Source organism: Homo sapiens, chromosome 5 (genome assembly GCF_000001405.40).
Source record: "Homo sapiens chromosome 5, GRCh38.p14 Primary Assembly".
NCBI classification, from domain to species: Eukaryota; Metazoa; Chordata; class Mammalia; order Primates; family Hominidae; genus Homo; species Homo sapiens.
The window spans coordinates 10,665,568-10,692,276 of NC_000005.10; the positions used below are offsets into that span (position 1 = coordinate 10,665,568).

At 48.0% G+C, this 26,709-nt stretch overlaps 1 protein-coding gene across 2 annotated transcripts in view, besides 4 other annotated features; it reads right to left on the reverse strand.

The window, feature by feature from the left end:
- Window positions 8,308–9,008: an enhancer, noted in NCBI's record as "H3K4me1 hESC enhancer chr5:10673987-10674687 (GRCh37/hg19 assembly coordinates)". NCBI's record gives its function as "activates a minimal SCP1, AML or CMV promoter by ChIP-STARR-seq in primed H9 embryonic stem cells {active_cell/tissue: H9 hESC(primed)}" and the evidence as "EXISTENCE:reporter gene assay evidence [ECO:0000049][PMID:30033119]".
- DAP (death associated protein) overlaps window positions 13,663–26,709 on the reverse strand; it is an 82,005-nt gene continuing 68,958 nt past the window's right edge. Inside the window, exons 3-4 of one of the 2 annotated variants that reach the window (NM_004394.3) lie at window positions 17,962–18,004; window positions 13,663–15,602 (exon numbers count right to left, since the gene is read on the reverse strand). In NM_004394.3, coding sequence (NP_004385.1) covers window positions 15,489–15,602; window positions 17,962–18,004 — 157 coding nt within the window. In that variant the 3' untranslated portion in view covers window positions 13,663–15,488. The remainder of the gene's footprint in view (window positions 15,603–17,961; window positions 18,005–26,709) is intronic. The other variant, NM_001291963.2, reaches the window with a different exon arrangement.
- Window positions 16,178–16,678: an enhancer, noted in NCBI's record as "H3K4me1 hESC enhancer chr5:10681857-10682357 (GRCh37/hg19 assembly coordinates)". NCBI's record gives its function as "activates a minimal SCP1, AML or CMV promoter by ChIP-STARR-seq in primed H9 embryonic stem cells {active_cell/tissue: H9 hESC(primed)}" and the evidence as "EXISTENCE:reporter gene assay evidence [ECO:0000049][PMID:30033119]".
- Window positions 19,178–19,257: an enhancer, noted in NCBI's record as "active region_22378". NCBI's record gives its function as "activates an Ori minimal core promoter by ATAC-STARR-seq in GM12878 lymphoblastoid cells {active_cell/tissue: GM12878}" and the evidence as "EXISTENCE:reporter gene assay evidence [ECO:0000049][PMID:35858748]".
- Window positions 19,358–19,667: an enhancer, noted in NCBI's record as "active region_22379". NCBI's record gives its function as "activates an Ori minimal core promoter by ATAC-STARR-seq in GM12878 lymphoblastoid cells {active_cell/tissue: GM12878}" and the evidence as "EXISTENCE:reporter gene assay evidence [ECO:0000049][PMID:35858748]".

The window sequence follows — 26,709 nt, forward strand, 5'->3', positions numbered from 1 at the left end:
AAGGCCTGGTGCTGGCCAAGGCCACACAGCAGGAGGTGAGTGGTGGGTGGGCGAGCGTTACCGCCTGGGCTCTGCCTCCTGTCAGATCAGCAGTGGCATTAGACTCTCATGGCAGCTTGAACCCTATTGTGAACTGCGCATGCGAGGGATCTAGGTCTCGCACTCCTTATGAGAATCTAGTACCTGCCTGATGATCTGAGGGGGAACAGTTTCATTCTGAAACCATCTGCTGCCCCCTCTCCGGCCACCCATCCGACCCCAGTCATTGGAAAAATTGTCTTTCACAAAACCAGTTCCTGGTGCTGAAAAGGTTGGGGACTGCTGTTTAAAATCCTTCTGAATTCTCACACCTTCCATTATAGGTCTTCCTCCAGGAGAATCAGACCACAGCTCTTTGCCCCAGGCCCTGTGTGAGCCCCGGCTCTGGTGCGTGGCCTTCTAGCAGGTGAAGAGATGCACTCGCTCCTTGTCCCTAGGGCCATGCTGTCATCATGGTCTGGAAGACCCCGTGGTGTCCTCAGTACCAGCAACAGCGTCCCAGACCATCTGGGCCCAAATCTTTCCAATCCTGGTAAGAATAGTCGGGGACCCCCAGGAGAAGCCCCCCGCTTCTCTCAGAGCCTAGAGTGAGGTGTGGCGAAGAGGCCTGGTCTGGGGCCCTCTGAGAGGAGGGGACCCCTCTGGGGTGGATGGTGTCCCAAATCTGCTCTCCCACCATCCAGCCACTTGGAACTAGGAGAAAAGCTAGGGCGACAGGAAACGTGGGCCTTCTGTGAAACAATGGAGCCTCTCCTCTCGGCCCCTTCACCCTGCAGGTGGCACCCAACTGCAGCCCGTGCTGGCATCCTCAGGGCTAGAGCTCCAGCAAGCATGGCCTGCTGCTGCCTCTACAGACTGCAGAACACAGCCAATAGATGATTTCATTATGTCCAGGTTCTTTTCTCATCTCCAAGCGAGGAAAAATCATGCCGCTTTTGTAAAGAAATTATGGACACATGGGAAGCTTCAGAAAATCAGGGCTGAGAAAGGCATGTGACAACATGCTCAGACACGGCCCACTGCCCCTGTATTTCTGACCAATGAAACAGTATGCAAGGGGGTCTTATTTGAGACTCCCTGCCCAGACCGAGCACAGAGAGTGGCATGCTCCTGACCCTCGGGCAGCAACTGCTCCCCCAAGAGAAGGGCCTTGGCCAGAGGCAGCTGCATAAAGAAATGGGGCTGAGGTGGCTATGGAGCCATTCGATGCCTGTGTCTACATCTGTTTCCCAAAAAGGTTATGGGTGCACTAGGCACCCAGACTGTGAGGTTTCAGGAAATAGTTTCCAAGTCTGCCCTCACTTCTGACAGCAGCTGCAAGCTTGGAGGGTTCCCCAAGCTACCTCCCGCATTAAGAGTTTGCTAACAGGATTCACAGAACTCAGTGAAAGCTATTATACTCATTGAATACAGGGCAAGGGCACTGACAGAAATGAGCCAAAGGCAGAGAAGCATGGGGCGTCAGGGAGGGTCTGAAATGTGAAACTTCCCACTGTCCTAAGGATGTGTCACCCTCCTGAGATTGATGTGTGACAAATGCATGGAGAATTGTCAACCAAGGAAGCTTGCCAGAGCTTCAGTGTGCAGAATTTGTATTGGGGCCTCACTATATAAGCATGAAAGAATGATTGATTGATCACATGTGTAATTGAAATCAGGCACCAAGGCCACTGATATTGTGTAACTCAAAGCCACCATTGTTGGTCTTTCCTGCATGGCCAGTTCTTATCCTGAGACTGTCAGATGTGGCTGGCTCTATGCTAAGGTTCCATGTGGCCAGCCTTTGCCACCAACAAAGACACTCCTATCAGGTATGCCATCAGTCACCTCCTAGAGCTGAGGGAAATGGCCAGAACCCCTCTGTGGGCAAGGCCACATTTTTTCCTATGTACCTGGCTCTGGGCTGCACTGGTAACAAGTCCCATGAGGCCCACTGACATCCATGCAGACATACTTGATACTGGGTCTGATTGTATCCCAGGGTCATGCCGTGAGAACAGACACAGAGAAAATGGCAGAACCCGGCTTCCACAGCCAGTGATGCAGAGCTTACCAAACGAAGGTTAAAGAGGAGGTGAAGGATGAGTCAGTTACAACAGGCCCCACCCAAGGGGACAACTCCACCAACCCCCCTGCTGGGCACCCATGCTCCCTCTGGGGCCTCAGCCTTGACTTTTAGTCTCTGTATGTTTTCTTCCCTCCTTTGCCCCACACATCCTTGGAGATCCTTTCTATTGTCCACAACTTGAACGCTGACTTAGCACAATTGAACCAGTAGTTGGCTAGGCGGGTTATATTCTGTTGCCCCAGTGTGCTCTGTCTTGAAAGTGGGTTCTACTCTATTTTTTTGGAGACAGAGTCTGGCTCTGTTGCTCAGGCTGGAGTGCAGTGGTGGGGTTCTTGGCTCACTGCAGCCTCAACCTCCCAGGCTCAAGCGATCCTCCCATCTCAGCCACCCAAGTAGCTGGGACTACAGGTGTGTGCTACCATGCCTGGTTAGTTTTTGCATTTTTTGTAGAGATGGGGTTTCATCATGTTTCCCAGGCTGCTCTTGAATGTCTGGGCTTGGCCGATCCTCCCACCTTGGCCTCCCAAAGTGCTAGGATTACAGGTGTGAGCCACACGTCTGGTCGGCCTCTGCTGTTCTGAGCTCATGGTTTCACAGGGGAGCTACTGAAAGGTATTGAAGAGTAATGTCTCTTCCTTTGTTCAAGGTTCTGGAAAACCCATTCTGGCTTGGCCATTGTGAGCATATGTACCAGGTTAGGTTTACCTGCACATAACAGAAAACCCAGTAACCATCATTGTCACTGTCATTGTCATCATGATCATGATCATGATCATGGCCTATACTTATAAAAGTGCCTACCATAGTAGGACCCCAAGAGTTAGAGGAATAGTTAGGTCCTCTAATTGCAAGTCACGTAAACATGACATAACATAGAGACCATTTCATGCTCGTTTTACAGATGGGGAAATAGATACAGAGAGGTCAAGTAACCTATCCAAGGTCTTGATGCTAGTGAGTGAAGGTGCTGAGATATAATCCGGGGTGTTCAGCCTCAAAATCTCTACTCCAAACTTTTCTGTTACAACCAAGAAAATAGTGGCTTAAATACTTAAGGGTTTGTGTCTCCATAAACAAAGTCCAGAGAGGCAGGCTGGGGCGATCATGGTGGGGCCACTGTCACCAGGGACCCAGGCTCCTTCTGTTCAGTCATCCTTGGAAGGGGCTGGTATTCCCTCATTGCCTCATGATCTGAAGTAGCTGCTGGAGGACAAGCCATCACACCTGTTTTCCAGGCAGGAGGAAGAAGTGAGGGGGAAAAACAGGCAAATCTTCTGGATGAGTCAGCTCCCTTTAAGATACCATCCTTTTATATAGCCTATTAACCAGAACTCAGTCATGAGTCACACTTACTGCTAGGTTGGAAAATGGAGCAGTAGAACTGGGCCAATTGCTGGCGTGGATATAACGCGGCTCCAGTCCAAAGACAGAGGGGAGAATGGACACTGGGAAGCAACTTGGCAGCAAAGCCAAGAAAATCAGTTTCTTTATTGTGTTTTCTTTCCTGAAACGTCTCCTGGGGGGCAAGAGGGAAGAGGCCCCATCCTTTTCTCTGTCTGATTTTTGGAGCTCTTCATCATTCTAGACCTGCTTGCCCCATAGGACTTTCTCTTACAGTTCCCTGTTCCAGGGACCCTGAAGACCAGCCCTGCAATGTGTGCATAGGGGGTCCTATTTGGTGCTGAGAGAGACAGGGTCTAGAGCATAGAGTTGGATTTCTGCACAGTGAAAGCAGGACTGAAGTCTGGTCTTTAAAGATTTCCTCCTTTTCATGATATGGCCCACTGTCATTGTCATTGTTATCACTGACAATGATGACATCTCTTCAAGATTAATAGGTTTCAGACTTATAGTGTTACCATCCTGGGAACAGGACCTAGACACCTGTGAGGTTCCAATTATTGACCTAAACGGTTGACAATTGGAGGACCTAGCTGTTCCTCTAACTCTTGGGGTCCTACTTTCACCTGAATGATGGATTGATTTGTTCCATCAATCAAATGTGTGAAAATGACAGTGGAGCTTCCTGCTCTTTAAAAGTTGGTGGTAGAAATCATAGCTGTCATATTGATCTTAGCTTTGCCACCTACTAGCTATATGATTTAAGTATGTTATTTTACCACACTAAGCCTCAGTTTCCTTACCTGTAAAACAGCAATGACGAAAATGTCTACCAGTAGGATATGTGAGCATCTAGCACATAGTAAGTGTCCAATAAATGTGAGGAGGAGGATGATAATGATGATCATGATGGTGGTGATAGTGGTGGTGGTGGTGATGGTTATGATCATGGTGGTGGTGGTGATAGTGATGACAAATGATGGTGGTGGTAATGATGGTGATAATAGCAATGATGGTAATGATGGTGGTAATGATGGTGATAATGATGATGAAGGTGGTGATGGTGAGAGTGATGATAATGGTAATGATGATGGTGATGGTAATTATGGTGATGGTGATGATGGTAATGATGATGGTGATGATGGCAATGATGATGAGGGTGATGATGGTGATGGTAGTTACGGTGATGGTGGTGATGGTGATGATGGTGGTGATGGTGATGATGGTGGTGATGGTGGTGATGGTGGTGATGATGGTGATGATGGTGATGATGGTGATGAGGGTGATGATAATGGTAATTATGGTAATGGTAATGCAATGATGGCAATGATGGTGATGATGGTGCTGGTGATGATGGTGGTGATGATGGTGATGGGGATCACGACGGTGGTGATTTAGGACCAGAATCTCCTTCAGTGGGAAATCTGTCTACTTCAAGACTTTTGTGATTAATGAAAGAAAAAGTATAACTCTGGCTAAATTTATATGGGTTAAACAAAGCATTAATTAATTAATAAATGCCCATTTGTCATTGTCTTATGTTCAGGTTAGTTAATTGTCCTTGAAGAAAATGCTGGTTTAGTGATCTAATGCTCTTTCTTAGACACTGCAATAGTGTTGCCCCTGAAAAGTAATAATCTTTTGGTTTTGTTATTGTTTCCTAGGATAACTTTCTTTGGGATCCTTTTGATATACTAAGAGCATCTGTGAGGATAGCCGAATAACTATTAGGCTGAAAAAAAATAGTATTAAGGCAGCGAAAATACTTTAGCTGTGAAACTAAACAATACATATATGAAGTCCTTAGCATCATTTAGGGCTGTTAAATATATGTGATGTGACATTACAAAGCAATTTGAGATGATTTCCTTAGTATGCATGATGGAAATGATTCATAATTACCCCAAATACCATTTCTTAGGTATTGTTTTTATGCATGTATTAATTATGGCTGTGGTTGTTTTTGTTTAGAGATGCTTTGTACTCCAGTTTGTCTTCTTAGGCACAGCCTTGCCTGTGATGGGGCAAGTCTCAGGATGTGGGTTTCTTGCATTGGCCACTGGTCCCACTGGGTGAGGATGGAGGTGTCATTGGTATAGAAGGTAGGGAATTTGTGATGAAACTTGCATCTTTTGAAAAGTTTTGTTTTGTACAGTGCTCTGAAATTTGTCTTTTATATATGCGTGACGCAATCTAGTTGCACATGTTGCAGCTAAAAGCGGAACCAACTAATTGAACATTTTCAGAGTCTGACGGAAATGGTGGGTGCCAGCATTCCTAGTCTATCATCCAGTTAGTTTGGAGGCTTGGGTAAGTGCCAGGTACGGTAAGAAATGACCACTTTCTCCCAGAACTCACATCTAGCCTTCACTCCTGTAATAGAAACAGGGATTTGTTGAGCGGCTGCGATAGGTAGGAATTCTGCTAGCAGACAGGGACACAGGACAAGGGCAAAGTCCCTGCCCTGAAGGAGATCTTTACCTACATGAGTTTCTTTTCATGCTGCTTTTCTGCAGACACACACATTTTCCTCTCAGCTATTTATCCCTTTGCCATGCACACTGATATCTGGGAGGTTAATCAACTTGAGGGACACATGGTTCATTTTGGAAAGCAGCTGCAATTCTTTGCAAAGAGGTTTCTAGACCTGTTTTTGAGAATATTTAAATCGCTGAGCCAAAAGCCAGTGTGACTGTCCTTCCTGCCCTAGGTGAGTGTGCTGGGAAGCCACCGAGGACATTGATCTTGGCTCTTCTTTGTATCAGTGATTGAGAAAACAAACACTATGCTGGAGAGCCACTGAACGCTCTCCCTGAAGGCAAAGATTTGCTTTATCTAAAATTTTCCATTGCGTCCAGGAGCAAATCTGCATCACAGCAATTTACTATTTTCTGCTCCAGGAACTGGAAAACACAAGCTTGAGCTACGTTAGCTGCTTCCACGAAACGTGCTGTCATCACTGAAACACATGTATTTTTTTTTTTTCAGGATTCCAGGTTGAGGGAAATTTGCTTTTGATTGTTTAATTGCATTATTATAGATTTTTAGTGGCATCTCTGGCCTCCATCTACTAGCAACCTCCAGACAGTGTCAAATGTTCCCTGGGGGGGCAACATCACCCCCAGGTGAAAATCATTGCCCTAGAAATAATGAAGATCATTATTAGTCCTCTAAGCACATTCCATGTTCTCAGTACATCCCTATTTAAAGACTAACACAAGTGGGTTTCTGGTGACTTGCACAGGAAACTGAGTCCTTATGCTGCAAAATGTTGGAGTCTTTCTTTTAAGTGACCCTTGGCAGTGCAGAATGCTGATGTCAAAATATAATCAAAAGCTCATTCCGGGCTTCTGGGTAGAGTTCCAAATCCTCCAGATTATATTAGTTCATTATAGCAGACCATGCTGGGGCTTTTCCAGTTGACAAATTAGATTTTTTTGAAAGCATGGCAGTTGGATTTATGAAAATATTTAGGATTAAAGGGGAGGATGAGGGAAACTAATTTTCTCTTGTCATGAATGCCCTTAATTGAATTTTAGAAACTGTTTGAAAGAGCAAGGTGAATGCTAGACAGAAGGTTGTAAAGATGTGCAGATAGGTCGAAGTAAAAACACATCCGAGATGCTTTAAGGACCCAGAGAAAAATCAGCCGCAATGAACACTTACTTTAGCTAATTTTATGTGTCAACTCGGCTGGGTCATGATGCCCAGATATGTGGTTAAACATTATCCTACATGTTTCTATAAGGATGTTTTGGGATGAGATTAACATTTAAATCAGTAGACTTTCTGAGTCAAGCGGACTGTCCTCCATTATGTGGGTGGGCCACATCCAATCAGTTGAAGGCTTGAATAGAACAGAAGATTGACCTTCCCTGAGCAAGAGGGATTCTGCCAGCAGACAGCTTTCGGACTTGAACAGCAGCACCAGCTCTTCCTGGGCCTCCAGCTTCCTGCCATCCCTGCAGATATGGGATTTGCTAGGCTCCATACTCTCATGAGCCAATTCCTTAAAATAAGTCTCTTCCTATATGTGTAGCATGTGTGTGTACACACGGATAAACATGTACACACACACACACACACACACCCTACTGGTTCTGGAGGACCTGGCGAATACAACTGTGATGAGGATGTCTCAAGTTCGCAAAGCCTCATGATTCGCCACCACCACCAACTCCCTCCCTCCCTCCCCATTCTTCAGGCGCATATGGCTGCCGGCGCCTCCTGGGAGGGTTACAAAATGCCTATTTTTTTGTTTTGTTTTGTTTTGTTTTTGTTTTTATACTGCAGAGGTCAGCAGGATGCCAAGTCTTAGGGAAAAAGTTTACTTTCGAATTTGTAAAAAGCAGCATTTAACCAGCACAGCAGCTGTGAAGACAAGAAAAGCTGCAGAACAGCAGAATAGCATGGGCTGCCGAGGCAGAGGCAGATGCTTTAACAATAACCAATGAATGACAAACCCACTGGGTCTGGCCCTATCTCCCCATGGCTCTGCTCTCTCGCCCCCAATCCCTGCCCTTTCTCAGGCTGCCTGCGTGGCGCTCATCCAGGCCTGGGTGTGCCCTCTGCTTGGCTGGTGGTCATTCCACGGTCTCCTTGACCAGGTTCCTGTCCAAGCCATGGGCACATCACACCCTGTAGCTTCACTTCCTGATACACACACGGGGGTTCACCTGGTGCCCAAACCTAGTAAGTGGCAGGAGGCAACTGAACCTGAGCCCTGCCTGAGCTTCCGGGTTCTGCGGTCCAGGCACTGGCTCCATCAGGGGCCGGTTTTAGTTTGAAGAACTGGAGCTAAGGAGGTTCTTTGAAATGGTGTCGAGGTGGCAGAACTCCAGGACACATTTGAATAGGGTCCCTGTTCTCCTTCCTCCCTGGACCCAGAAAGGAAATGTCCCAGGGATTCTCTCCCTCCAGGAGGGGTCTGCGGAGAGAGGGGGTGGCCCCAGGGACCTAGCCTCTGGGTCAGGGTGGAGCAACAGGGATGTCCCAGGGGCACATTGCAGGCACAGGGAGGGGCTGCTTGCTTCTCGGGTGGTCGCAGGGGAGAGCTCAGGGCTTGTGGTCCATGGGGCAGCAGATGAATGAGTCAGGGGCACTGGAAAACGATGTGCTCCTCTTGGTAACCCCTCCAGTCTTGGATCATTCCAGTAACACTTGTAAACGTTATGAAGAAATTTATCAGCGAAAACATTCAAGGCGCTGTGCTTTGTGCTGGGGCCACCTGAGTCCAGAGACTGCGGTGGATGGCATGCGGGAACCAGAGGCACGCACGCGCCGCTGACCTCTGGGTGACAGGTAGCCCCTGGAGGGTCCTTAGGGCCCAGCACCCTCCTGCCCATCCCTGCTCCGCCAACACTCACCTGGGCCCCTGGCCTCCTCTCCATCTCCTCATTGTTTCTGAACACAGTCTTGATTGGCATTGATCCAACCATCCCTTTCTGGAATCTTCTTGCCAACTGCAAATCTCTGTACCCCTCTAGCACCCTTTGTCCATACTGGGACCCCTGTCCTCATGATCCCAGTCACGCCTCTCATTTACTGAGCATCTGTATTAACCATGAGGTTAGCGTGTATGACTTCTTTTCATGCTCACAAAACTGAGAATGCAGAGGTGCAATTGGGTAGGTGGAGACTGGGGTCCAGAGACGCTGATGGAGGAGCCTCTTGCTCCAGCAGGGCTGAAGTTTGAGCCTGGGCAGGGGTGACTCTAGAGCCTGTGCTTGCCCCGGTGCAGTGCCATCCCCCCTCTCCCTTCCTCAAGCCTGCCATTCACCATCTGGCCTTTACCACACATAGGTGCTCACGACCCTGTCTTCCCCGGCTCTGCACAGCAGAGGACAGCTTGTCCCCCACACTGTGTCCCTAATCCAGGGGCAGCAGCTAAGCAGAGCTTCTTGCTCCCTGTGGGGGTTTTTAGGTCACCATTTGTCCTCCTTACAGGTCTCCTTTCTCCGTGTTTTATGCCTTCTGTTTAAGCTCAGCCTTTCCCGGTCCTTACTGCTGTCATCTAATCACCCCTGGGATGTGCTGCTTCCCTGAGGATTTCAGTATCAGTTTCATAGTCTCTGGGGTCTCAGCATCCACACTGACCCTTCCAGGTTTTCTCTTTTCCTCGACTTTCCTCAAATGGCTCCTTGCCATCCTGCTGACTAGCTCCCCTGAGTTTCTCTGACTGCCAGTCTCTCTTGCCTCCTTCAGACCCCCGAGCTGCCCTTTCCATGATATCTGTCCCTTCTGGGCTAGCAGGTGATAACGTTTGTTTGGTAATTGAACATAAGCCTTTACGGTGACACTGCCTGCGTGCAAGTCCCAAGTCTTCCAAGCCTCAGTTTCCTCATCTTGTAAATGGGTATGACAACATGGGGATCCATCTCCTGGAGCAGATGGTGCGCGTCTATGGCTCAGACAGTAACGCACGCCTGCACAGAAGGAGCACCTGGTGTGAGTCAGCCATCCCTGTCCCCTGGGCTGGGTCCCGGGCTCAGTGATTGTGGGCACTGTGGGAAGCGCTCTTGATCCTTCGGCCCATGGCCATGCTCTGGCCCCATGTTAATCCCCACGCTTCACTGCAGGCAGCCTCTACCTCTTCCAAACTCCCCCGGTCATGGCTAGAGAAAGTCCTAAGACTGGATGCATCACTTCCACTACAGATCCACTCTCCTGTCTCAGCTCCGTCTTTCCAGGCTCAGTAATCTTTCGAATCATCCGTTAGTGGCCTTGCATCTCAAACAACCTGATCTTCTCAGCGCCCTATTCTGCAGAAGCTTTCTCATAGGTTTGTTGAGAAGGCTGGCTGTACATCTGCGGTGGGTGCTCTCTGCTGTCCTCTTCCCAACCTCAGTGTGACTTTCCTGCGTCCACATTGACTTCTGTCCCTCTCGCCTCCCCTCAAGGGTGACCTTCCTGCTCTGGCTCATGAACTCACCCTCTGTGGGGCCCCGGGACCTCTGCTGTCAATGAACATCATGCAGTTGTTCTCTTTCTTATGCCTTAAATCACTCTGGGGCCTTTCCCCACAACCATGTCCAAGTCTCCCTGTAGCTCAGGCTAAAAACAACTTTTCTTCTTCAAACCTACCCTCCCCTCCAGTGAAGGTCTTACCTATAGCTTCCCATTATAGGCAAACTTTTCCATTCCTAATTTTGCGAAATCTGGCTTCCATCTCTCCACTTACCAGAAGCCCCTGCTCTAGGGTCACAGGGTGATGGAATGCAGTCACCTGTCTGCAGCTCCCTGTGTCCCATCTGCCAGACCCCCTGGCACTCATGACCTTGTGTGTGCTGGTGTGCCTCTCCAACCTTCCCTCACCTGGCACCTCTGCACTCATGCCTTCAGTGTGTCTCCATGGCCTCTCCGTCACTGAGTCCCTGCCTTTATCAGCATCTCCAAGCAGATGGATCCCAGATGTCTCTCCAGCCCTGGCATCCCTCCAAGCAGTGGTCTCACCTTGTCAAAGCCCTGCACAGTAGCTCTGCTTGGAGGCCACGTGGGCACACTGGAGTCTGCCCAGAATGGTCTCTTGCTTCCCATGTTAATTCCTCCTCCATTCACGCTGGCTTTTCTTAACACCTTCGCCAACATCCTGGCCATCCAGTCTTGAAACCGCAGCATGCTCTTGACCCCCTTGCCCTTCGCATCAAACCACATTCTGTGTTTTCTGTTATTTAGTCCCTAGACCATGGCAGGGTGAGGTGTGATGGGTTGTGGGATCAGAATGATCTGGATTCAAGCCTCAGCTCTGCCATTTGCTAACAGTGACTTTTAAAATAAACATCTTTATTGAGATGTATTTCCCATACCACACAATTCGCCTAAAAGTGTATAATTCAATGGCTTTTAAAAAGCATATTCAAGGTTATGTGCAAGTATTAACATGGTTGATTTTAGAATATTTTCATCACCTCAAGAAGAGACTCTGTACCCTTTGGCCATCACTTCCCTACTCTCCCTGCCCCCCACCAGCCCTAAGCAAGCACTGTCTCTACAGATTTCTCTGTTGTGGACATTTCATATGAATGGCATCACACAAGTAATCTTTGGTGACTGGCTTCTTTCACTTAGCATGATGTTTTCAAAGTTCATCCATGTTGTAGTGTGTATCAGTCCTTCATTCCTTTTCATGGCTGAGTAGTACTCCACTATGTGGCTATACATTTTGTTTATTCATTCTTCAGTGGATGGACATTTGTGTTGTTTCTTCCTTTTAGCTATTATGAATAATGCTGCTATAATCGTTTACAAATTTTTGCATGGACATGTTTCATTTTTATTGGGTGTATATACCTAGGAGTGGATTGCTGGGTCATATAACTCTATGTTTAATTGTTTGAGGAACTGTTTTCTCACTTGAGAAACTGTTTTTCTGTTTTTTCACTTGGGACTGTTTTCCCAAGTGGCTGCACCATTTTGCACTCCCAACAGCATTGTACGAGTTCCAATTTCTCTGCATTCCTGTCAGTACCCTTGTGCCATAGACTTTTTGGTTCTAGCCATCTTGGTGAAGTGGTATTTCATTGTGGCTTTGATCTGCATCTCCCTGGTGACGAAAGACGTTGAGCATCTTTTGATGTGCTTATTGGCCAACTGCTAACAGTGGCTTTGACACTGGATGCTGAACTTCAGTCTTTCCTCCTGTAAAATGGTACAACCACCATCCATGGAGCACAGTGGCAACACCGCGACTCTCTGGGCTGAGGACACATGCGACAGCAAGTAATCCCACAGCCACTGGACCCAGGGACAGGCAGCCTCTGCAGCCAAGGGTCCTGTCCCTTCATGTCTCTGCTTCCAGTCTTTTCTCTGTACGTCCTGCAGCCAGGCTTGGGCTGCTGCACGGCTAGAGATGCTTTATCATGAAACCTGCAGCAGGTGAAGGTTCTCCCAGCAAAGTTTTTGCAGAAAAGTGATGCACTAAGTGAACTGTTCTTCAAATGGTGTGAGCTGGGAGTGAGGTTTCTGGCTTTTCAGCACATGGGTGATGTTCTTGGGTGAACGATGTTTCCCCAAAAGATATGTGGAAGTCCTAAATCTCAGTGCCTCTGAATGTAACCTTAATTGGAAACAGAGTCTCTGCAGGTGTAATTAGTGAAGGCGAGGTCATAGTGGCATAGGGTGGGCATTCATCTAATGACTGGTATCCTCAGAAAACAAGAAAGATTTGGAGACAGACACATAGACAGGGGATGGCCATATGACAGCGGAGTCAGAGACCAGAGTGATGCTGCCCACAAGCCAAGGAATGCCAAGGATGGCCACAGCCGCCAGGAGCTGGGTGAGGCCAGGAACTCCCACTGAGTCTGTGGAGGGCGTGTGGCCTGGCCAACACACTGATTTCAAACCTCTCCAGAACTGTGAGAGAATACATTCCTGTTGTTTTAAGCCACCCAGTTTGTGGCTTAATTTGTGACTTTGTTAAGGCAGCAATAGAAAACTGACACAGGATAATGATGTTCAGGAATGATGTGGAGAGCCCTGGGGGTGGTTCTGTTCCATGCTTGTTGGATGCTTGGCATTTCTGGCCACCACAATGTATTTACTGAGAATGGACTCTCTGCCCAGTGACAGAAAATGAGTATGGCCCTGGTTCCTGTCCTCAGCTTAGCATGGGAGACAGGAGGCAGGAATACAAGCAGCAGCTTCAGAGGCAACACCAGGCAAGGCCAGGGTTGTTGGAGGCGTGGGCTCCAGCCACTCCCAAGCCGGGGCTCTGAATGTGGCCCCTGGTGCTCTCTCTGGTGCTCCCTGACAAATATGGCCCTGGGTGAGAAAACCTCAGGCCCCTCCCACTCAAATTCTGATTTGATTCTGGATTGCCAGTGTAATAGTTGTGATTATTTTCTCACAAGGGTTACAGGAGACCTTCTGATTAAGGCAAACATCTTGTACATCAAAAGCTGCTCACTGTCACCCCTGGGCTTACTATTCATCATTCTCTCTTAAATCTGTTCCCAAAGGGCCTACCTGGCACAGGCCAGCTGCTGGGCCCAAGTAATATGTTTTAATCAATGGTATTAAGCTTTTTCCATGTTCTGACATTTTAAGTAGATAATTAGACTCCAGTCACCAGGTGTCCAACAGTTCTACTTTTCTATCTGGAAAATAAGTTTTGAAAATACCTATCATGTACACGTTTGTATTTCTACTGAAACCACCTGGCAACCCTGGTAAAATGTAAAAGGGAATCTCTGATCTATAAGAAAAAACAAAGCTGGAGAGAAATGCAGGAGCTTTATTATAAATCATTTAATATTCTTGAAGTTAACAACTGATAAACTCATTTAGGCAAACATTTTGGATTTAATGATCTAAAGCTCACAGATGCATGCCACATCTAGCTAAAAGTACATAAAAAGCGCACCTCTGGAAATAACAGCCCTCCCTCTGGCTGAAGACTGAGAAGCATTAAGGATGCTTCTGGATTTCTGCAGCGGCAGGGCAGGGGTCTGCACAGGCCTGACCTGGTGTTGCTGGAGCGCGGCATCCCCTCCTGGGTGCTGCTCCGAAAGGCAGGCTGGGAGGTGCTTGCTGGGGTGTTCCATGGCAGCGCTGCCAACCAAGTCTGGGTCTCTAAAAGCCACCCTCAGTTTATACCAACTGATCAGGAAATAGGTGGTGACAGGGCCTTGAAGGGTACATGCCGGCTTCCCTTAAGTTGATTAGATGGGAAACCAAACACCGTCTTTCAAGTGTGAGGCTGTGCCATGCTCCCTCAGGGAGGAGGGGCGCTGGGTCTGACCAGGTCTGCCTCTGCCCTCACCAGCTGGCAGACGTGAACTGGAGAACAGCACCAGAAAGGCTGGTGGTTGGCAGCTGCTCACGACACAGTTGCTGACCTGCAGCAGATCGGCTGTGGGTGAGCAGGACAGTCAGGCCCTCCACAAGCACTGTTCTGGAGTTTCGTCTGACTAGGTGAACCCTCTGGCTTTTCGAGGACGCAGGGTACCCTACTGCCACCAGCCAGTGAGCAGACTAGGACATCTCTAGACAGGAAACTCATCTAAAAATCGGAGGACAACCTGATGCACCCAAGTGACAATGGACCCAGGCAGCTGTGCACACCAGGTGGGAGGCGTTTGGAACAGTTAGACTCATCAGTGGATAGGTTTTTCTAGCACAAATGGAATGTGGTGTCTCATGTCCCTAGGGAGACAAAGGGCAGGTTTCTTATCTGGTCTTTCCAAGCTTTCAACTCTCTGGCTCAAGTGTCCCAGAATGAACTAGAAGTCTATTCCTCCACCCTGGTCCGTGGTCACTTCCAGAACTCTGAAGTGGCTCAGGAGGTGACTCCTGAAAGGCAGCCCTTGCTTGATCTCCTGGTGGAGCCTGTCTGGGCTGAGGCGATGCTGGGCTTGCCGTGCCGAGATCTCATGCCAGAAGTCCTCCCTCGGAGCTACCTGTCTCCAGCCTCATTCTTTGGCATGTTGACTCCTGGAATTGAGGGGCTATTTCTAAGATGCATGCTTTTTCGGCTTTTCTCATGGGTGCCTCATCAGCCTGCACAGGATCCCCCATCTCACGAGAGAGGGAAATTTGGCATTGCTGTTCCCTGCCTCTAAGGTCCTTTATGAGGGGCCGCCCAAACTCATTCCCTTAGTTCTTACTCTCCCACAGGTGTTGAGATTTTATTGGCCCATACTAAAAAGCATGCAATGACTGAGGTTTTCTCCTAACCTTAATCTCATCTTCTCAAATGTGTGCCTTCTTGTTTTTAAGACCATAGACAAGGACGTCAGGTGACTGCTGAAATAGAACTAAAGCTAAAATTTTTCTCGGATCTTGGCAAATTCTGCTAATGGCACCTCTAGGGGCACAATGATCCTCAAATGACATCCAACCAGACTCCCCATAAACAAGGTTTGGGCTGGAGCTGTTTCTAGTTTTAAATATGGAAATGTAAGGCAAAGGACAGAGCACTTGGTTTTGCCTTAGATTTCCCAGCAGAGTAGGATTTGGGCGAAACTGCTGGTTCTCTCTGTCAGGGAAATACCAAGTGCAGCAGAGCCGGGGCCATGGGGCAGGCTGGTGGACTCCAGGCTCACTTGCGTGGCTGCTGGATGTGCTGGGTTCTTGGGGAAGGATGCTTGTCCATGGAGGCATGCGGCTTCTGGTGAGCCACCTGCGCAGCCGCCGGGGGGAAATCTTTGTCACCCTGTCAGGAAACACGGAAAGCTCAGGTTAATCAATAGGAAGCATGGGGTTTGTGGGTGAGGAAGCCCCAGGCCAGTGCCCACCAGCGTCCCTGCGGAAGGATAGCAATTGTGTGTGAGGAAGCCTCAGGCCAGCATCCACCAGCGTCCCTGTAGGAAGCATGGGGTTTGTATGTGAGGAAGCCCCAGGCCAGGGCCCACCAGCGCCCCTGCAGGAAGCATGGGGTTTGTATGTGAGGAAGCCCCAGGCCAGCGCCCACCAGCGTCCCTGCAGGAAGCATGGCGGTTGTATGTGAGGAACGTCCAGGCCAGCGCCCATCAACGTCCCTGCAGGAAGCATGGTGTTTGTGGGTGAGGAACCCCCAGGCCAGCACCCACCAGTGTCCCTGCAGGAAGCATGGTGTTTGTGGGTGAGGAACCCCCAGGCCAGCACCCACCAGTGTCCCTGCAGGAAGCATGGTGTTTGTGGGTGAGGAAGCCCCAGGCCAGCGCCCACCAGCGTCCCTGCAGGAAGCATGGGGTATGTATGTGAGGAAGCTCCAGGCCAGAGCCCACCAGCGTCCCTACAGGAAGCATGGCAGTTGTATGTGAGGAAGCCCCAGGACAGCGCCCAACAGAGTCCCTGCAGGAAGGATGGCGGTTGTATAAGAGGAAGCTCCAGGCCAGCACCCACCAGCGTTCCTACAGGAAGCATGGTGTTTGTGGGTGAGGAAGCCCCAGACCAGCGCCCACCAGCATCCCTGCAGGAAGCATGGCGGTTGTATATGAGGAAGCTCCAGGCCAGAGCCCACCAGCGTCGCTGTAGGAAGCATGGGGTTTGTATGTGTGGAAACTACAGGCCAGCAGCCACCAGCATCCCTGTAGGAAGCATGGTGTTTGTGGGTGAGGAAGCCCCAGGCCAACGCCCACCAGCGTCCCTGCAAGAAGCGTGGGGTTTGTATGTGAGGAAGTCCCAGGCCAGCACCCATCAGCGTCCCTGCAGGAAGCATGGTGTTTGTGGGTGAGGAAGCCCCAGACCAGTGCCCACCAGCGTCCCTGCAGGAAGCATGGGGTTTGTATGTGAGTAAGCCGAAGGCCAGCAGCAACCAGCCTCCCTGCAGGAAGCATGGGGTTTGTATGTGAGGAAGCCCCAGGCCAGCGTCCACCAGGGTCCCTGTAGGAAGCATGGCGGTTGTATATGAGGAAGCTCCAGGCCAGCGCCCACCAGTGTCGCTGGAGGAAGCATGGGGTTTGTGGGTGAGGAAGCCCCATACCAGCGTCCCTGCAGGAAGCATGGCAGTTGTATGTGAGGAAGCCCCAGGCCAGCACCCACCAGCTTCCCTGCAGGAAGCATGGGGTTTGTGGGTGAGGAAGCTCCAGGCCAGCGCCCACCAGCGTCCCTGCAGGAAGCATGGCAGTTGTATGTGAGGAAGCCCAGGCCAGCACCCACCAGCGTCCCTGCAGGGCAGGCGTGGACTGTGAATGGATAAAGGAAGGTGGAAGTCTGTCCCTTGTGGGTGTTAGGGGGCCTGGGCAATCAAAACCAGGGAATGGCAGGTGGCACTGAGGCCCACACACTGGCAGGACAGCAAGAATGCTCACTGGCTCTGCCCCATGCCGTGAGACACAGGAACATGCGACTCCCACAGAACTGACTTGGATGCTGCGGGGTTTCTTCTGCTACATCTGTATTTGTGACTATTTAAATTGGGGGCAGGACAGAACCAAATCCAGGATCTTAAGTTCAGATGTGCCACCACAGCTGTGAGCCAGGCCTGGGACGCTGGCTGGGAAGGAAATGCACAGGGCGCCTACGAGACAGAGCCAGGTTCGGCCTGTCCAGTCTCAGGAGGGACTCCCTATTTTCCAGAGGGATCAATGGGCTTCTGTGCCAACTGTGGGTGTGGCCAGGGTGGGGTCCACATGGGCAGGCTGGAGCCACACTTCTCTGGCTGGCAGGTTGGCTGGCTGCGGTCACAGCTCCACCAACAGTGGGCTGTCCCCAACACTGGCACTTTCTTCAGGCATCCTCTGATAAGAAAGTGAATGTTCTGAGAACAGCAGCCCTATGGACGGCAATACTGTGGGGTTCACTGCGGGGGTTTGCTGATGGGAGTTCACTGGTGGGAGGTCTGCGCTTAAGTCACAATGTTGGGTCTCACCAGACGGCGGCTCTGGAAAGGTAAAGGATGCGAGTCTGGCCTGCGGTCTGCAGAAGCAGCCTCTGGGGAAACGCGGCAATGAAGAGAGCCATGGCCACAGAGGAGATGAGCAGTGGTGCTGGGTTATTCCAGGTAGAGTTTAACAAAACCAGAAGCAACCAGGAGACTCCATGCTGCCATGCAAAAGCCTCAAACCCACCGCAGACACTCCCAGACTTACCCGGGCGATGACCCCAGAGATGAACACAGTGGGTTTAGGTGGACTGGAAAAAAAGAAGGGAAAAGGCAGATTTAACAAAACAGTCCACAACAGGGAACACGGTGGCAGACGATGTGTATGTGGATGAGCCAGGCTGGAGGGCGTGGAGGCAGAATGGGAAGCAAACCTCTCCTCTGCGTTATTTGTTGTAATGATCACACTACGGGGCTCGGGAGCCTCCTTCTCCTGAGGCTAGTTCAGCCCCAAGTACGAGAGAGAAACAGACTGCAGCCAACTGCGAGTGAATTGCCTTCAACCACTTTCTATTTGTGTTTTTTTTAGGGACAGGGTCTCTGTCACCCAGGCTGGAATGCAGAGGCACGATCATAGCTCACAGCAGCCTCCACCTCCTAGACTCAAGTGATCCTGCTTCAGTCTCCCGAGTAGCTGGGACAACAGGTGTGCAGCATCATACCTGGCTATTTTCTTTTATTTTTGTAGAGACAGGGTCTTGCTATGTTGCCCAGGCTAGTCTCAAACTCCTGGCCTCAAGCCATCCTTCCACCTTGGCCTCCCAAAGTGCTGGGATTACAGGGATGAGCCACTGTGCCCAGCCTATTTTTGTTTTTTGGTTAAATCAACACATTTTAACTATGGGCAAGCCCATTTATTTGGATTTAATGAGATCGTGAAACAGGCGCTTCCCTAAAGCAGGGGAGAAGTAGCTTTACATGGTGTGGACTTGGAGACTTTCTCACTGCCTCCTCAACCCTAGGCTTCCCCTTCCAGCGTCCTCACAGGGGAGATTCTAGAGCCAACACAAACCTCCCGTCCCCATCAATCCCTGAGCATTACAAATATAAGGTCCTTGGGAAACATGTCACCTCTTGACATGTTAACTCACACTGAGCTCACCTAAACTGCCGAGTATTGAGGGAATGGATGCAGTACCAAAGCAGTACAGCTCAGTGTGAAAAAACAGACAAGCCCAAACAGGCTCAAATCGCCAGCAGGTCTACCACCTGGAAACACACACTGTTAACGTGGGGCTATCCTCCCAGGCTTTCCTTCTATGGACAGATGTACGTGCTTGTCTTCTTATTAACTTTTTTCTTACAAAAATAGTTATACTGTTTTGTAATCTGCCTTCTGAACTAAGGCTATGGCAAGCATCTCTCCATGTAATTATATACTCTTCTGTACACTTATTTTTTATGGCTACGTGTGCCATAATTTAAAAACATCAGGACACAGTTTGAGGTAGTGGACAAGGTGTGTGCACTTCCAAATGCCTCCACCAAGAGGTACAGACACCCAAGACCTGGAGGTGAATACAAGGTCAGCCCAGCTGGGACAGCGCGATCGATCGGGGACACTCACGGAGGTGGGTGGAGGGGAAGCATCTCCCTCTTAGTTCAGTTTTGCTTAAGGCCAGTCCTGCTGGGTAGAGGGGGTAGAATTTATCCCCTGAGCTCACCAGCCTGTCTCTTCCCAGCTCTGCTTCTCCTCTGCTGCCAGTGGTCTTTTTTAAGGAATCCACTTGTCTTAGCTTTGTTTTGCTGCAGTCAAAAGTCCCAGCATTCCGAAAGTTCACTGACTGTTTACTTCCCCAAAGAGTTTACCAAAAACACCTGAAATTCCCCCAAGTAATTTCTGTTACTTCGCGACATTAAGAAACTTCAAGTTTTACTAAGCAGCACAGAGATGCCCCATACATTACCTTGGTTTTATTTAGTGTTTGTTGTGTGGTTACCCAGGTTGGATTTTTTTCCCCTTCCTTTACGTACATGATTTAGCTATAGGATTAATAGTCGGCCAGAAATGAGTAAGCTCAGCTCAAGTTTAAAAGTCCCGCCACGTGGTATAACTGAATTCATTTGGATTCTTAAAGCACATCCTGCTGTGATGGCTGATACCATCCACAGGGGAGGGCTTCCAGGGATTCAGGGCCAAGGAGTTTGCATCCAAAGCTCAGGAACTGTGGTCTGAATTCTAACATTTTAGAAAAGATTTGGAAAGGAATACACAAATGGCAGCACAAAGTTTCTTAACGTCGTTTGGAATGTTCTTTTAAACATCTAGGAACAGCCTGAAGCAGGGATGGCCCCACTCTGGTAGCGAATCATATAGTATCATCTTCAACAAGGCACAGCCGTCTTTCCGTAGCAGGAGTGCACAGTGGCTTCCACTGTCTCCATGTCCTATTTGTTTTTTAACCTGCTGAGGCTCTGAAAGGCGGAAATGCAGGACATCACCCCACTCCAGAAACTTGATATAAAATGTCATCCATAGAGAGTCAATCTAGTAAGAATACATGCATAATAAAGGGAATTAGCTTCCTCACCAAACTGAGCCCTAAAAGGTGGCTGAGGAAGCTTGAGTAATTATATACATATATAAACACCCTCCCCTCTACAGACACACACACACACAAACAAACACCTTGTTTTATGGCATCTGCTTATCGCACTTCACAGGTAATGTGTTTCTTTAGGAATTGAAGGTTTGTGGCAACTCTGCATAAGCAAGTCTATGGGTGTCCATCTTCATTATTATTATGTCTGTTACAGTGATCTGTGGTCATTGATCTTTGATGTTACTACTGTAATTGTTTTGGGGCACCACGAACCGTGCCCATATAAGATGGTAAACTTAATCAATACTTGTCATATGTGTTCTGACAGTTCTACTGACCAGCCATTCCCTGTCTCTCTCCTTCTCTTCAGGCCTCCCTATTCCCTGAGACATAGCAATATTGAAATTAGGGCAATTAACAACTCTACAATGGTCTATAATGGCCTGGAAGTATTCAAGTGAAAGGAAGAGTTGCATGTCTCTCACTTTCAATCAAAAGCTAGAAATGACCCAGCTTAGCGAGGAAGACATGTCGGAAGCTCAGACAGGCTGGTCTCTTGCACCAAATAGCCAAGTTGTGAATGCAAAGGAAGAGTTATGGGAGAAAATTAAAAATGCTACTCCAGTGAGCACTGGAGTGAGTGACAAGGAAGTAAAAGAGCATTATTGTTGATATGGAGAAAGTTCGAGTGGTCTGGATAAAAGACAAGCCACAACATTCCCTTAAGCCAAAGTCTAATCTAGAGAAAGGCCCTAACTCCCTTCAGTTCTATGAAGGCTAAGAGAGGTGAGGAAGCTGCAGAAGAAAAGATGGAAACTAGCAGAGGTTGGTTCATGAGGTTTAAGGAAAGAAGCCATCTCCAGAAGATAAAAGTGCAAGGTGAAGCAGCAACTGCTGAGGAAGAAGCTGCAGCAAGTTCTCCAGAAGATCTAGCTAAGATCATTGATGAAAGTGGCCACACTAAACAACAGATTTTCAATGTTGACAAAACAGCCTTTTATTGGAAAAAGATGTCATCTAGGACTTACACAGCTAGAGAGGGAAGTCAATGACTGGTTTCAAAGCTTCCAAGGGCAGGCTGACTCTTAGTAGGGACTAATGCAGCTGATGACTTTAATTTGAAGCCAATGCTCATTTACCATTCCAAACATCCTAGGGCCCTTACGAATTACATAAAATCTACTCTGTCTGTGCTCTATACATGGGATGACAGAGCCTGGATGACGGCACATTGGTTTACATCAAGGTTTACTGCTTATTTTAAGCCCACTGTTGAGACCTACTGCTCAGAAAAAAAGATTCCTTTCAAAGTATTACTGCTGATTTATAATGCTCCTGGCCACCCAAGACCAAGTATACAAGGAGATTAATGTTGTTTTCATGTCTGCTAAAACAACATTCATTCTGCAACCCATGGATCAAGAAGTAATTTTGACTTTCAAGTCTTATTATTTAAGAAATAAGTAATTCCACTGGTAGATTTGGGCAAAGTAAATTGAAAACCTTCTGGAAAGAATTTACTACTATAGATGCCACTAAGAATACTCATGATTCATGGGAGGAGGTCAAAATATCAATATTAACAGGAGTTTGGAAGAAGCTGATTCCAACCCTCATGGGTAACTTTGAGGGGGTTCAAGACTTCACTGGAGGAACTAACTGCAGATGTGGTGAAAACAGCAAGAGAACTAGGATTAGAAGTGGAGCCTGAAGATGGAACTGAATGGCTGCAATCTTGTGATTAAAATCCTCAGGGATGAGGAGTTGCTTCTCATGGATGAGCAAAGAAAGTGATTTCTTGAGCTGGAATCTACACCTGGTGAAGATGCTGTAAACACTGAAAATAACAACAAAGGATATAGAATATTATATAAACTTAATTGATAAAGCAGTGGCAGGGTTTGAGATGACTGACTCCATTTTTGAAAGAAGTTCTACCATGGGTAAAATGCTATCAAACAACATTGTATGCTGCAGAGAAATCTTTCTTTCCTGAAAGGAAGAGTTGATCTATGTTCTATGTCACAAACTTCATTGTTGTCTTTTTTTTTTTTTTTTTTTTTTTACAGAGGGAGAGGGTCTCACTCTGTTGCCCAGGCTGGAGTACAGTGGTGTGATCTCTGCTCACTGCAACCTCTACCTCCCAGGTTCAAGTGATTCTCATGCCTCAGCCTCCAGAGTAGCTGGGATTACAGGCACACACCACCATGCCTGGCTAATTTTTGTATTTTTAGTAGAGACAGGGTTTTGTCACGTTTGCCAGGCTGGTCTCGAACTCCTGGCCTCAAGTGATCTACCCACCTTGACCTCCGAAAGTGCTAGGATTGCAGGCATGAGCCATCACACCTGGCCTGTTGTCTTATTTTAAGAAACTGCCACAGCCACTCCAACCTTCAGCAACCACCACCCCAATCAGTCAGCAGCCATCAACACTGAGGCAAGACCCTCTACCAACAAAAAGACTGAGCCTCACTGAAGGCTCAGATGATCATTAGCATACAGAATTTTTAAATTTTTAAAATTTTAAATTAAGTTATGCATTGTTTTTTAGACGTAATGCTACTGTACACTTAATAGGCTACAGTGGAGGGTAAACATAACTTTTATATGCACTGTGAAACCAAAAAGTTGTGGGACTCACTTTATCACAATATTTGCTTTATTATGGTGGCCTGGAGCAGACCCTGCAATATCTCTGAGGTCTGCCTGTACATATTCATTATTGAAACGCAGACAAGCAAAACAAGTTAAAATCACTTGTACTTCTGTATTACTGTACGTGTGTATTTATAAAGATTGACACACACACACAACTACTGTCCCATCACAACTGCTGAATGGCCATGGAGACTCTGGAGGCTAAAGGAGATCCCCAGCAATGAGGGTGGTCTACCCTGTGAGTACGCCACCCTTTGCAGAGGTGGAGTGGAACTCCAGGACGCAGAGGCGCCATCCAGCAGTAGGGCGCCAGCCTGGAGAGGCCTCCATGTTGGGTGTTCCTGACAGGCTCCTTGGTTGAGCCCAGCCCCACTGTGTAGTAGCTGCCACGTGAGGCTCTCGGGGGACCTGGCTATCAGGAATCTGTCTCCAGCACTGGTCCCCTGTGTGCACTGAGGACGGGAGTCTGGAGCCCAGGGGCCTGCCACAGTCCCGCCCTTCCTCCCTGCCCTCGGTGCTCCTCAGAGGTGCTGTCCTCTGGGCGTCTCCTGCATTGATCACGACAAGGGTGGGGTTCTATGCCTCGAGTATGTACCCGGAGAAATGTGTGTGAACAGTGATGATATGAGATCATGACAGCTCTGCTCTAGCCTGAGTGCTGGAAAACACACACGGAAGCTGAGGCCTAGAAACCAGCCTCTGACTCCCAGGGCACGCTCTTTCCTTTCCTAAACCCACATTTAGCACCTCACTCCCATGTGAGCTGCTCAAGACACTGTCCCATCGCAACTGCTGAATGGCCATGGAGACCCTGGGGGCTAAAGGAGACCCCCAGCAGTAAGAATGACCCTCCCCCCACAGGCCCAGCTCATTCCAGGAGTGTCCAGGGCCATGGTTGCAGGTTGCAGCGTCTAAGAGTCCACAGGAGTCATTCACAGATGGCGCTGTCCTTGTGAAACCCCAAATTCACGGAGATAGCTCCTTTGTGCTGAGTCATGACTGAATCTGCTGAGCTTTAGTGGCTTGGTGGATTCTGCTCATAAAGACAGAGGATGTCAATGAAAATCATGCTAGGCTCAGCATAAGAAATGTGCCTCTGCCAACCACTGGGTGGCGAGGGGTGAGGTGAGGCCCACCGGGTGTGGCGATGAGCCAGGGACTGGTGTCCTTTGTGCTGCATCCTATACAAAGTGGCTAGTCATTCTGCTGGATGTGGTGCTGGCGACTTGGCTGAGTGATGGCAAGACTGAGGGTCTGATGCCGCAGTCAAAGGGACTCACTCAGGATGGAAAGGCCGTGAACTTGCCCTTGTGCACACCCTGAGGGCTGACTCCGAGCTGAGGAGCAGGGACAGGGAATGTCACTCAGTGGCAAGCTTAGGTCAGAGCAGTCTCTTGGGGCACAACCAAAACAGTGTGCATTCCACCTAATTAACCTGGGGAAGAACAACATGAAGGCCTGAGACTTCATCCTGCACTGCTGTGCTCCAGCGCCCCCATCTGTTTGGCACTGGTAAGAAATAAGGCACTGAAAGAAAAGAACCCCATGTGTCCAGCACTTCCGCAGGCGAGGTCCTTGCTTTAAGACTGCACTTTTTACACAATATTCAAGAATTGTGTTGCATGAGAAAGTCTTATCGAGCCGCAAGAGGCGACTCGGCGGGAAGTGACAGGACACCAGACTGAGGGTCTCCTTTAGCTCTGGTCTGCTCAAGGCAAACGTTCTTCCTAAAGACAGTCCAAGCTCTCCCTCCCTTCTAACTTCGCTTTGAAACCCCAGCCAGCTCAGCAACTAATTACAAAAAAATTATGTACCATTTTAGCCATTTTTAAGTATACAGTTCAGTGGCATTAAGTATATTCATATTATTATGCTATCATCACCTTTATCTATTTCCAGAACTTTTTCATCATTCCCAACAGAAAGTCTGTCCCCATTAAACACTAGCTCCCCATTCTCTCCTCCTCCCAGCCCCTGGCCATCACCGTGAGTTTAACTGCCCTAGGGATCTCATGTAAGTGGAATCATACAGTACTTGTCTTTTTGTGTCTGGCTTATTCCATCTAGCATAATATTGTCAAGGTTCATTTATGTTGCAGAATGTGTGGGAATTCTTTTTTGAGGCTGAATAACATTCCACTGTACAGACAGACCACATTCTGCTTATCCATTCATCTGCTGATGGACACCTGGACTGCTGCGAATGGTGCAGCTATGGACGTGGGTGTATAAATATGTGCTCGAGTTTCTACTTTCAATTATTTTGTGTGTAACTCAGAAGTGGAATTGCTGGGTTATATGGTAATTCTGTGTTTAACTTTCTGAGGAATCACCAACCTGTTTTCCACAGCGGCTGTTCCATTTTAGATTCCCACCAGCAACGCACATGGGTTCCTATTTCCCCATATCCCTGCCAACGCTCGTTGTTTTCTGTTTTGTTTTATTCTGTTTTTTTGGATAAAGGCTCTATTCTAATGGGTGTGAGGAAGTATCGTACTGTGGTTTAGATTTAGCAACTAATTTTAAGAATAAGCTTCCCTGCCACAGAATAATAAATATCAATCTGTATTGATCATTCATTAAAGGTCTTTATGAACCAAAAGTCGCCCCCAAAATTCTTCTCTAAAACTGAAAAGGCCATAATTGGCTGTAAGGACATATGGCAGCTGCCCATGAAAAGATGGCAAAAGGCAGGCCTCTTCCAAAATGTCTAACAGCGATATGTATTTTCATGTAACTTGTCCCGTGACAGAGCGTATGTTGTGTTGAAGGTTTTCATCAAGTTTGGCCCAAAGGCTTCAGAGCCCAATCCTTTTTTCCAACTATAATTAACAGCAACTTAAATTGGCAAATAATTATTTATGACGTTTATAAAGTAAAAACAGTTACTAAACTCTTTGAGATGTGGTAGCTTGAACAAAATCTCACAAGCGAGAAACCCCAGTCAAAGGTCTGGGTGTAAGGCTGTACATGCAAAACACACCTATTTTAAATGCCATTAGGCTTCCATGCAAAGTATAACCTACATTTCTCAAGTCTAAGAAGTATGATAGCTGCTTTGAGGATTTATTTAATCTGATGAAAATCATTCTGACAGATGCTGTTTTGAAGATGCAACATTATTTTCTCTCAGGAAACAGAGAGTGAAAACTATCAACCCTGCCCGCCCCATATCCTCAGGCCTTTCCAGACTTTAAAAACTACACTTATTTAAATTGAAAAGAACTGCAAGCCAGGCAGAATTAGCCAGGATTAGAATCCAGATAACACTTCCTATACACTAGCAGAAACTGCAGCTTTTTCACACCCAGACTAAGCAGCCACCTGATGTCCGTGCACGTGGGTCTCTATTGTCCATCTGGCAAGGACCACATCAAACTCTTAAAAGGACCCTTTGTCCTTAACAAAAGTTTGCTATTACTTATTTTCTAAATTTTCTTAATGAAGATTTATACCTTATTGGCATTCTGTGGAAACTGCAGACAGACAGGATAAAATGCCAGAAACGCTCAGTGACTGAGTAACCCTGTGGAATGCAGATATCATCAAGACTGAGTTTGATGGTCTCATCTTTAAAGGAATGTGGAAAGGGCTGAGAAACCCAAATTCATAGTTTTAAAACTTCCCTAAACTCCCAAACAGCAACTATTTAACTCAATATATTCAAGTTACTGCTACCCCAACATGTAACTCATATAAAAATTGAGAAGACTTTTAACATTCTTTTGTGTTCTAAGGCTTTACACCCTCCCTCA